Here is a 13,281-nt window from a genome sequence, read left to right as displayed (position 1 = left end):
CTTTCCACTTTCAATAGCACTTGCCTAGGACTGTTTTTTCTTAAGAGACAGAGTCTTGCTCTGTCACCTAGACTGGAATGCAGTGGCACAATCATAGCTTACTGCAGCCTCCAGCTCCTGGGCTCAAGGAATCCTCCTGCCTCAGCCTCCTGAGTAGCTGAGACTGCAGGCATGTGCCACCACACCCAGCTAATTAAAAAAAATTTTTTTTGTAGAGGTGGGGGTCTTAATATGTTGCCCAGGCTGGTATCCAACTCCTGGACTTAAGCAATTCCTGGCTCTTGATGAGTTGACAGATGTTACTGATACTGCTCTACTGATCAGTTGTTGATATTCTAGAAGTCAGTGCTGAGTTTGAAGTGACTAAAGAATTATCCTTTATGAGTAATACGCACATAACAACTGCAGGTAAGAATATTTTCAACGAAGCTGAGAAAACACCAATTCAGTACAACCTAAAGTAGAATCTGCTAAGAGTGATACAAATGACAGTAAAACAAAACAAAAAAAAAATGTGTGAAGCAGGAAAGTCTTAGTCGATAAATGCACAAGGCTTGTGAGCATGTAGGTTGTTAAAAACACATGGTTATTCATAGAAGATAGTGTGTGGAAATGCCTTAGATATGTTGTTGAACCAGTAATGTCAACAGTGAGCTTCATTTGCTCTTGTAGACCAAATCACTGTCAGTTCTGTATATTTTTGTCAGAAATAAAAGCTAGATATCCCAACTTGCCCTACTATATGCTAGTTGAATGACTTAGGAGTGATAAAGTTTTATTATGATTTTTTGAAATCAGAACTAAGATTGAATTTTTTCTAAATAAGAACCATCTTCAACCATTATCAAAACTGAATGGCAGCTGGGCGTGGTGACTCACGTCTGTAATCCCAGCACTTTGGGAGGCTGAGGCAGGTGGATCACGAGGTCAGGAAATCGAGACCATCCTGGCTAACACGGTGAAACCCTGTCTCTACTAAAAATATAAAAAAATTAGCTGGGCGTGGTGGCGGGCGCCTGTAGTCCCAGCTACTTGGGAGGCTGAGGCAGGAGAATGGCGTGAACCTGGGAGGCGGAGCTTTCAGTGAGCCGATATTGCGCCACTGCACTCCAGCCTGGGTGACAGAGTGAGACTCTGTCTCAAAACAAACAAAACAAAACAAAAGAAAATGGCTTTGGAGGCCGGGCGTGGTGGCTCACGCCTGTAATCCCAGCACTTTGGGAGGCCGAGGCGGGTGGATCATGAGGTCAGGAGATCGAGACCATCCTGGCTAACAAGGTGAAACCCCGTCTCTACTAAAAATACAAAAAATTAGCCGGGCGCGGTGGCGGGCGCCTGTAGTCCCAGCTACTCGGGAGGCTGAGGCAGGAGAATGGCATGAACCCGGGAAGCGGAGCTTGCAGTGAGCCGAGATTGCGCCACTGCAGTCCGCAGTCTGGCCTGGGCAACAGAGCGAGACTCCGTCTCAAAAAAAAAAAAAAAAAGAAAATGGCTTTGGAAACTGGATTTTTGTTGTAGACTTGATAATGTTTCCCAATGAATTACAAGGCAAAACAGTTCTTATATGTGAAACTTATACTGTAGTAAAGTTATTCTGACAACTGACATAGTCTGAATCACAAGCAAAATCAAGCTGCTCTATATGCTTTTTTTGGCTATTGAAAGTTAAAAAAAGAAGTGAGATCTTCACTCCTATCCAAACTGGCTGCAGGCATGTTTTTTGAACTCAAATCACAGTTCCAGAAGTAGTTTTCAGATCACAACTTGATGCAAGTGCAAAGGAAATAAGAAAATTTCCTTCCTCCCTCCCTCCCTTCCTCCTTCCCTTCCTTCCTTCCTTCCTTCCTTCCTTCCTTCCTTCCTTCCTTCCTTCCTTCCTTCCTCCCTCCCTCCCTTCCTTCCTTCTTTCCTTCTTTCCTCTCTATCTCTTTTTCTTTCTTGCTTTGTGGAGACCAGGTCTTGCCATTTTGCCTAGGCTGGTCTTGAACTCCTAGGCTTAAGTGATTCTCCCTCCTCAGCCTCCCAAAGAGAAATTTTCATATTTACAAATCCATTTAAGAGGCAATTGAAAAAACATTTAAATTTTAATTTTAAAAAAGAGGCAGTGGAGTGGCCGGGTGCGGTGGCTCACGCCTGTAATCCCAGCACTTTGGGAGGCCAAGGTGGATGGATCACCTGAGGTCAGGAGTTCAAGACCAGCCTGGCCAACAAGGTGAAACCCTGTCTCTACTAAAATACAAAAATTAGCCGGGCATGATGGCGGGTGCCTGTAATCCCAGCTACTCGGGAGGCTGAGATGGGAGAATCACTTGAACCCAGGAGATGGTGGTTGTGGTGAGCCAAGATCATGCCACTGCACTCCAGCCTGGGTGGCTGAGGGAGACTCCGTCAAAAAAAAAAAAGAAAAGAAAAGAGAAGAAAAAAGAAAATGTGTTTTCACATAGAAAATATAAGGGCAAATGCAAATTAAAAATAAGAGGTTCAATTTACTCTGGTGAAAACAGGAGAAGAGATTTCCCTCCCCTCCTTTTTCTCAGGACATTTACCTTAGAAAACTTGTAAGTATTTTCTCTTTTCTTTGAAATACATATGTATATATAGGCTTTTGAAGACTAGGCAGGACTTTTGCCAACTGGCCTTTTCTCAGCTCCATGACCAAGGAATGTTTTTCTCGAGGACCTGAAAGCCATCTCTTTGAATAGCAAAAATTAGAGCTTAGCTTCGGTGGGTGCCCTGCTTGAAGTTGCAAAACTACCTCTGCCATAAAAAGTTGAGAAGATTTTCCTCTGGATAAAGCCAATTAGCTAACATAGATGGTCACTCCAATTACCACAATAAAGTTGGGAAAAACCATGTGACAAAAGGTGCTGCCAAGACCTCTTATTTGAAGACTAGTTATTGTTTATCTTGAAAGCATGTATGTAATGGGTTGTATCTGTTCGGCTATATAAGGAGGCGAGATTTCTTTCTGCCTTTTCAATCTCTTTGTAGGTTGCCTGTGATATGTGTTACATTCTAGTTTAATGCTTCTTTAATAGTGTATTCTTTCCCTGCTACCTTTGTAGAGAGAATTTCTGGGTTGGAAGAAGGATTTGTTTTTAATTATATTTCCCCAACAAAGGTTTGTGGAAACTTTTCCACTGCGTTTTTTTGTTGTTGTTGTTGAGATGCAGTCTCGCTCTGTTGCCCAGGCTGTAGTGCAGTGGCTCAGTCTCAGCTCATTGCAAGCTCTGCCTCCCGGGTTCACGCCATTCTCCTGCCTCAGCCTCCAGAGTAGCTGGGACTGCAGGCATCCACCACCACACCTGGCTAATTTTTTTGTATTTTTTTAGTAGAGACGGGGTTTCACCATGTTAGCCAGGATGGTCTCGATCTCCTGACCTCGTGATCTGCCCCCCTTGGCTTCCCAAAGTGCTGGGATTACAGGTTTGAGCCACCGTGCCCAGCCAAAACACATTTTCTGGTTTGTTTGTTTTTGTAATTTAAGACCAAATAATTTATTTTGGGAAATTTATTGTGAATAGACATTAAAAATAGGTTCATTTGTGCAAAGTAATCTAAACAATGAATGTTTGTGCATATATATATATATATATATATATATATACTGATATATATATACGCACATATACACATACATAACACAATTCTGTATGGGAAATTCATTAAACAACGAGTAGAGTCAACAGTTTGAGTCTCTCAATAACTTAGTAAAAAGCAATATTGATCTTTATAAAAATAATTTTAAAACTTTTTTCTGTTTGTGAAAAATAAAATATCAATTTGAAAATTACTGTCAGACCATGAAGGCAAATAAGAAGTAATATAATCTATCTTCATTTATAGATGAGGAAGAAAGTGACTCCAGAAAAGTTAAATAAAACTTTCTTAAAATTATGTAGGCAGTTATAGTGGCAGAGCTGGGTTATTAATCTGTTACTCCTCACTTACAGTTCAGTGGTTTGGTTTTTTTGTTTGTTTGTTTTGTTTATTCTGCTCCTACTGTTTCCATCTCAGCCTTAACATTTCCTTTTATTCTTCATTTGAGCTAAGCATTCTTTTCTTCTAAAGAAGACCATCGACTTTATTTGAATCATAAGTCACACACACAAACACACACACACACACACACACACACACACTCCTGCAGAACAATCTGGAAAATCTGAACACACTGGATATCTGACGACAATAGGAATGATTATTAAAGATGTGAAAATAGGGCTGGTCGCGGTGGCTCATGCCTGTAATCCCAGCACTTTGGGAGGCCGAGGCGGGCGGATCACGAGGTCAGGAGATCGAGATCATACTGGCTAACACGGTGAAACCCTGTCTCTATTAAAAATACAAAAAATTAGCCGGGCGTGGTGGCGGGCACCTGTAGTCCCAGCTACTCAGGAGGCTGAGGCAGAAGAATGGCATGAACCCGGGAGGTGGAGCTTACAGTGAGCCGAGATCGCGCCACTGCACTCCAGCCTGGGCGACAGAGTGAGACTCCATCTCAAAAAAAAAAAGAAAAAGTGGAAATAGAATTGTGATTTCATTTTTTTTCAATAGGTTTTTGAGGAACAGGTGGCATTTGGTTACATGAGTAAGTTCTTTAGTGATGATTTGTGAGATTTTGGTGCACCCATCATCCAAGGAATGTAACGGTGCCCTATGTGTAGTCTTTTTTTTTTTTTTTTTTTTTTTTTTTTGAGACGGAGTCTCACTCTGTCGCCCAGGCTGGAGTGCAGTGGCGCGATCTCAGCTCACTGCAAGCTCCACCTCCCGGGTTCATGCCATTCTCCTGCCTCAGCCTCCTGAGTAGCTGGGACTACAGGCGCCTGCCACCACGCCCGGCTAATTTTTTGTATTTTTGTATTTTAATAGAGACGGGGTTTCACTGTGTTAGCCAGGATGGTCTCGATCTCCTGACCTCGTGATCCGCCCACCTTGGCCTCCCAAAGTGCTGGGATTACAGGCGTGAGCCACCACGCCCGGCCCCAGTGTGTAGTCTTTTATCCCTCACCCCCTCCCACCCTTTCCTCTAAGTCCCCAAAGTCCATTGGATCATTCTCATGCCTTTGCATCCTCATTGCTTAGCTCCCACTTATGAGTGAGAACATACGATGTTTCATTTTCCATTTCTGAGTTACTTCACTTAGAATAATGGTCTCCAGTTCCATCCAGGGTTGCTGCAAATGCCATTATTTCATTCCTTTTCATGTCTGAGTAGTATTCCATGGTATATATATCACATTTTCTTTATCCACTCATTGATAGCATTTGGGCTGGTTCCATATCTTTGTAATTGGAATTATGCTACTATAAACATGTGTGTGCAAGTATCTTTTTCATATAATGACTTCTTTTCCTTTGGATAGATACCCAGGAGTGGGATTCCTGGATGAAATGGTAGATTTACTTTTAGTTCTTTAAGAAATCTCCACGCTGTTATCTATAGTGGTTGTACTAGTTTACATTCCCACCAACAATGTAAAAGTGTTCTCTTTCACCACATCCACGCCAACATGTATTATTTATTATGGCCATTCTTGCAGGAGTAAGGTGGTATCACATTGTGGTTTTGATTTGCATTTCCCTGATAATTAATGATGTTGAGCATTTATCCATGTTTGTTGGGTATTTGTGTATCTTCTTTTGATAATTATGTATTCAAGTCCTTAGCCCACTTTTGGATGGGATTGTTTGTTTTGTTCTTGCTAATTTGTTTGAGTTCCTTGTAGATTCTGGATATTAGTCCTTTGTCAGATGTATAGATTGCAATGATTTTCTCCCACTCTGTAGGTTGTCTGTTTACTCTGTGATGAGTTCTTTTGCTGTGCAGAAGCTTATAGTTTAATTAAGTTCCATCTATTTATCTTTGTTTTTGTTTGTTGTGTTTGCTTCTGGGTTCTTGGTTATGAAGTCTTTGCCTAAGCCAATGTCTAGAAGGGTTTTTCCAATGTTATCTTCTTTTTTTTTTTTTTTTTTTTTTTTTTTGAGACGGAGTCTCGCTCTGTCACCCAGGCTGGAGTGCTGTGGCGCAATCTCAGCTCACTGCAAGCTCTGCCTCCCGGGTTCACGCCATTCTCCTGCCTCAGCCTCCCAAGTAGCTGGGACTACAGGTGCTCACCACCACATCTGGCTAATTTTTTGTATTTTTAATAGAGACGGGGTTTCACCTTGTTAGCCAGGATGGTCTTGATCTCCTGACCTCGTGATCAGCCCGCCTCAGCCTCCCAAAGTGCTGGGATTACAGGCGTGAGCCACCGTGCACGGCCCCCTTTTTTTTTTTTTTTTAAGACAGAGTTTCACTCTTATTGCCCAGGCTAGAGTGCAGTGGCACCATCTCGGCTCAATGCAACCTCCACCTCCCAGGTTCTCCTGTCTCAACCTCCTGAGTAGCTGGGGTTACAGGTGCACACCACCATACCTGGCTAATTTTTTGTATTTTTAGTAGGGACAGGATTTCACTATTTCACCCAGGCTGGTATCTTCTGGAATTTTTATGGTTTCAGGTGTTAGATTTAAGCCTTTGATCCATCTTGAGTTGATTTTTGTATAAGGTGAGAGATGAGGATCCAGTTTCATTCTTCTACACATGGCTTGCCAATTATGCCAGCACCATTTGTTGAATAAGGTGTCCCTTTTCCACTTTATGTTTTTGTTTGCTTTGTTGAAGATAAGTTGACTGTAAGTATTAGACTTTATTTCTGAGTTCTCTATTCTGTTCCATTAGTCTATATGCTTGTTTTTATACCAGTACCATTCTGTTTTGGTGACTATGGCCTGATAGTATAGTTTTAAGTCAGGTAATGTAATGCCTCCAGATTTGTTTTTGCTTTTGTTTTTTGTTTAGTCTTGCTTTGGCTATGCGGGCTGTTTTTTTGTTCCATATGAACTTTAGAATTGTTTTTCTAGTTCTGTGAAGACTAATGGTGGTATTTTGATAAAAACTGCATTGAATTTGTAGATTGCTTTTGGCAGTATGGTCATTTTTCACAATATTGATTCTATCCATCCATGAACATGGGATGCGATTCCATTTGTTTGTGTCATCTATTATTTCTTTCAGCAGTGTTTTGTAGTTTTCCTTATAGAGATCTTTCAGCTCCTTGGTTAAGCATATTCCTAAGTATTTTTATATTATGTTATTGCAGCTATTCTAAAAGGGGTTGACTTCTTGATTTGATTCTCAGCTTTGTTGCTGTTGGTGTATAGCAGGGCTACTGATTTCTGTACCTTAATTTTGAGTCCTGAAAGTTGGCTGAATTCATTTACCAGTTTTAGGAGCTTTTTGGATGAGCCTTTAGGGTTTTCTAGGTATAAAACCATGTCATCAGCAAACAGCAACAGTTTGACTTCTCCTTTATCAATCTGGATGCCCTTATTTATTTATGTTTTTTTCTCTTGTCTGGTTGCTGTGGCTAGAACTTCCAATACTATGTTGAATAGAAGTGATGAAAGTAGGCATCTTTGTCTTGTTCCATTTCTCCGGGGGAATACTGTCAACTTTTCCTCATTCAGTATAATGTTGGCTGTGGATTTGTCATAGATGGCTTTAATTATTTTAAAGTATGTCCCTTCTTTTTATTATTATTATTATTATACTTTAAGTTTTAGGGTACATGTGCACAATGTGCAGGTTAGTTTCATATGTATACATGTGCCATGCTGGTGTGCTGCACCCATTAACTCATCATTTAGCATTAGGTTTATCTCCTAATGCTATCCGTCCCCCTTCCCCTCACCCCACAACAGTCCCCAGAGTGTGATGTTCCCCTTCCTGTGTCCATGTGTTCTCATTGTTCAATTCCCATCTATGAGTGAGAACATGCGGTGTTTGGTTTTTTGTCCTTGAGATAGTTTACTGAGAATGATGATTTCCAATTTCATCCATGTCCCTATAAAGGACATGAACTCATCATTTTTTATGGCTACATAGAATTCCATGGTGTATATGTGCCACATTTTCTTAATCCAGTCTACCCTTGTTGGACATTTGGGTTGGTTCCAAGTCTTTGCTATTGTGAATAGTGTCGCAATAAACGTAAGTGTGCATGTGTCTTTATAGCAGCATGATTTATAGTCCTTTGGGTATATACCCAGTAATGGGATGGCTGGGTCAAATGGTATTTCTAGTTCTAGATCCCTGAGGAATCGCCACACTGACTTCCACAATGGTTGAACTAGTTTACATTCCCACCAACAGGGTAAAAGGGTTCCTATTTCTCCACATCCTCTCCAGCACCTGTTGTTTCCTGACTTTTTAATGATTGCCATTCTAACTGGTGAGAGATGGTATCTCATTGTGGTTTTGATTTGCATTTCTCTGATGGCCAGTGATGATGAGCATTTTTTCGTGTGTCTTTTCGCTGCATAAATGTCTTCCTTTGAGAAGTGTCTGTTCATATCCTTTGCCCACTTTTTGATGGGGTTATCTATGACAAACCCACAGCCAATATCATACTGAATGGGCAAAAACTGGAAGCATTCCCTTTGAAAACTGGCACAAGACAGGGATGCCCTCTCTCACCACTCCTATTCAACATAGTGTTGGAAGTTCTGGCCAGGGCAATTAGGCAGGAGAAGGAAATAATGGGCATTCAATTAGGAAAAGAGGAAGTCAAATTGTCCCTGTTTGCAGACGACATGATTCTATATCTAGAAAACCCCATTGTCTCAGCCCAAAATCTCCTTAAGCTGATAAGCAACTTCAGCAAAGTCTCAGGATACAAAATCAATGTACAAAAATCACAAGCATTCTTATACACCAATAACAGACAGAGAGCCAAATCATGAGTGAACTCCCATTCACAGTTGCTTCAAAGAGAATAAAATACTTAGGAATCCAACTTACAAGGGACGTGAAGAACTACAAACCACTGCTCAATGAAATAAAAGAGGATACAAACAAATGGAAGAACATTCCATGCTCATGGGTAGGAAGAATCAATATTGTGAAAATGGCCATGCTGCTCAAGGTAATTTATAGATTCAATGCCATGCCCATCAAGCTACCAATGACTTTCTTCACAGAATTGGAAAAAACTACTTTAAAGTTCACATGGAACCAAAAAAGAGCCCACATTGCCAAGTCAATCCTAAGCCAAAAGAACAAAGCTGGAGGCATCACGCTACCTGACTTCAAACTATACTACAAGGCTATACAGTAACCAAAACAGCGTGGTACTGGTACCAAAACAGAGATATAGATCAATGGAACAGAACAGAGCCCTCAGGAATAATGCTGCATATCTACAACTATCTGGTCTTTGACAAACCTGAGAAAAACAAGCAATGGGGAAAGGATTCCCTATTTAATAAATGGTGCTGGGAAAACTGGCTAGCCATATGTAGAAAGCTGAAACTGGATCCCTTCCTTACACTTTATACAAAAATTAATTCAAGATGGTTTAAAGACTTAAATGTTAGACCTAAAACCATAAAAACCCTAGAAGAAAACCTAGGCATTACCATTCAGGACATAGGCATGGGCAAGGACTTCATGTCTAAAACACCAAAAGCAATGGCAACAAAAGCCAAAATTGGCAAATGGGATCTAATTAAACTAAAGAGCTTCTGCACAGCAAAAGAAACTACCATCAGAGTGAACAGCCAACCTACAAAATGGGAGAAAATTTTCGCAACCTACTCATCTGACAAAGGGCTAATATCCAGAATCTACAATGAACTCAAACAAATTTACTAGAAAAGTATGTCCCTTCTAAGCCAATTTTGCTGAGGGTTTTTTTGTTTTGTTTTGTTCTTTTGATATGGAGTTTTGTTCTTGTTGCCCAGGCTGGAGTGCAATGACCTGGTCCCGGCTCACTGCAACCTCCGCCTCCCAGGTTCAAGCAGTTCTCTTACCTCAGCCTCCCGAGTAGCTGGGATTACAGGCGTGTGCCACCATGCCTGACTAATTTTTCTATATTTTTAGTAGAGATGGGGTTTCACCATGTTGGCCAGGCTGGTCTCAAACTCCTGACCTCAGGTGATCCATCCATCTTGGCCTCCAAAAGTGCTGGGATCACAGGTGTGAGTCATCATGCCTGGCCTTGCTGAGGGTTTTTAATCATAAAAGGATGCTGGATTTTGTCAAATACTTTTTCTGCATCTATTGAGATGATCGTGTGATTTTTGTTTTTAATTCTGTTTATGTGGTGTATCACATTTATTGACTTGCCGATGTTAAACCATCCCTGCATCCCTGGTATGAAACCCACTCGATCATGGTGGGTTATCTTTTTGTTATGCTGTTGGATTTGGTTAGCTAGTATTTTGTTGAGGATTTTTGCATCTACGTTCATCAGGGATATTGGTCTGCAGTTTTCTTTTTTTGTTATATCCTTTCCTAGTTTTTGTATTAGGGTGATACTGGCTTCATAGAATGACTTAGGGAGGATTCCTTCTTTCTCTATCTTTTGGAGTAGTGTCAGTAGAATTGGTATCAATTCTTTGAATGTTGGATAGAATTCAACTGTCCATCTTTCTGGTCCTGGACTTTTTTTTTGTTGGTAACTTAATTACCATTTCAATCTTGCTGCTTGTTATTAGTCTGTTCAGAGTTTCCATTTCTTCCTGTTTAATCTAGGAGGGGTGCATATTTCCATTTCTTCCTGGTTTAATCTAGGAGGGTTGCATATTTCCAGGAATTCATCCATCTCCTTGGTATTAGTCAGAATATCTCCTGTTTTGTTTCTAATTGAGCTTATTTGGATCTTATCCTTTATTTTCTTTGTTAATGTCACTAATGGTCTATCAATTTTATTTATCTTTTCAAATGACCAACTTTTTGTTTCATTTATCTTTTGTATTTTTTTTTGTTTCAATTTCATTTTGTTCTGTTCTGATCTTGGTTATTTCTTGTTTTCTGCTGCATTTGGGTTAGGTTTGTTCTTGTTTCTCTAGCTCCTTGAGGTGTGACCTCAGATTGTCTGTTTGTGCTCCTTCAGACTTTTTGATGAACTTTGCTCTTAACACCACCTTGCTGTATCCCAGAAGTTTTGATAGGTTGTTTCACTATTATTGTTCAGTTCAAAGAATATTTTAATTTCCATCTTGATTTCACTGTTGACCCAACAATCATTCAGGAGCAGGTTATTTAATTTCCATGTCTTTGCATGGTTTTGTGGGTTCCTTTTGGAGTTGATTTCCAGTTTTATTCCACTGTGGTCTGAGAGAGTACTGGCTATAATTTCCATTTACCTATATTTGTTGAGACTTGTTTTGGGGCCTATTATATGGTCTATCTTAACGTTCCATGTGCTGGTGAATAGAATATATATTCTACAGTTGTTGGGTATCTGTCAATATCTGTTAAGTCCATTTGTTCTAGGATATAGCTTAAGTCCATTGTTTCTTTGTTGACTTTCTGTCTTGATAAGCTGTCTAGTGCTGTCAGTGGAGAATTGAAGTAATCCCACTATTATTGTGTTGCTGTCTATCTCATGTTTTAGATCTAGTAGTCATTGTTTTATAAATTTTGGAGCTCCAGCGTATATATGGGGATTGTTATATTTTATATATATGTTAGGATTGTTATATTTTCCTGCTGGACTAGTCCTTTTATCATTGTATAATATCCCTATTTGTCTTTTTAAATTGCTGTTGCTTTGAAGTTTGTTTTGTCTGATATAAGACTAGCTACTTCTGCTTGCTTTTGATGTAAATTTGCATGGAATATCTTTTTCCATCCCTTTACCTTAAGTTTATGTGAGTCCTTATGTGTTAGGTGAGTCTCTTGAAGACAGCAGATACTTGGTTGGTGAATTCTTCTCCATTCTGCCATTCTGTATCTTTTAAATGGAGCATTTAGGCCATTTACATTCAGTGTTAGTATTAAGATCCAAGGTATTATTCTATTCATTGTGCTATTTGTTGCCTGAATAACTTGGTTTTTTTTCATCATGTTGTTGTTTTATAAGTACTGTGAGATTTATGCTTTCAGGGGACCCTATTTTGGTGTATTTCAAGGATTTGTTTCAAGATTTGGAGCTCCTTTTAGCAGTTTTTATAGTGCTGGCTTGGTAGTGATGAATTCTCTCAGCGTTTGTTTGTCTGAAAAAGATTGTATCTTTCCTTCATTTAGGAAGCTAAGTTTCACTGTATACAAAATTCTTGCCTGATAATTGTTTTGTTTAGGAGGCTAAACATAGAACCCCAATCCCTTATAGCTTGTAGGGTTTCTGCTCAGAAATCTGCTGTTAATCTGATAGGGTTTCCTTTATAGGTTCCTGATGTTTTTGTCTCACAGCTCTTAAGATTCTTTCCTTAGTCTTGACTTTAGATAACCTGATGAGTGTGTGCCTAGGCAATGATCTTTTTGCAATGAATTTCCCAGGTGTTCTTTGAGCTTCTTGTATTTGGATGTCTAGATCTCTAGCAAGACCAGGGAAGTTTTTCTCAATTATTACCTCTAATATGTTTTCCAAGATTTTAGATTTCTTGTCTTCCTTGGGAACAACAATTATTCATAGGTTTGGTCATTTTACATAATCCCAAATTTCTTAGAAGTTTTGTTCATTTTTTAAAATTCTCTTTTCTTGGTCTTTGATGAACTGGGTTAATTTGAAAGGCTTGTCTTTGAGCTCTGATATTCTTTTCCTTCTTGTTTGAGTCTATTGCTGAGACTTTCCAGTGCATTTCCAATTCTCTAAATGTGTCCTTGATTTCCAGAAGTTGTAATTTTTATTTATGCTACCTATTTCACTGGAGAGTTTCCCCTTCATATACTGTATCATTTAAAAAATTTTTTTTAAGTTGGACCTCATCTTTCTCTGATGCCTGCTTGGTTGGCTTAATAGTTGACTGTCTGAATTCTTTTTCTGGCAATTCACAGATTTTGTCTTGGTTTGGATCCATTGCTGGTGAGCTGGTGTGAAAGTAGTGAAAGTACAGCTACACCATAGACAAAGTAGGGTGTCCCTGAAAGTAAGAGGAAGAAAGTGTCCACCCTAGGTGCAATGATCATATATATGGGGAGATGTGCTCTGTCTGCTACAAGGGTTTGTGATGTAGGATTAATTTTTTAATTACTATATTTTGCAAGAAAGGATATTATTATTATTATTACTATTTTCAAGATAGAGTTTCACTCTTATTGCCCAGGCTAGAGTGCAATGGTATGATCTTGGCTCACTGTAACCTCCGCCTCCTGGGTTCAGGAGATTCTCGGCCTCAGCCTCCTGAGTAGCTGGGATTACAGGTGCACGCCACCACATCTGGCTAATTTTTGTATTCTTAGTAGAGACAGGGTTTTGCCATGTTGGCCAGTCTGGTCTCAAACTCCTGACC

The sequence above is a fragment of the Homo sapiens genome, chromosome 3 (genome assembly GCF_000001405.40).
Source record: "Homo sapiens chromosome 3, GRCh38.p14 Primary Assembly".
Classification (NCBI taxonomy): Eukaryota; Metazoa; Chordata; class Mammalia; order Primates; family Hominidae; genus Homo; species Homo sapiens.
The sequence above is the reverse complement of the archived record's forward strand: the minus strand, read 5'-3'. Positions refer to the sequence as shown.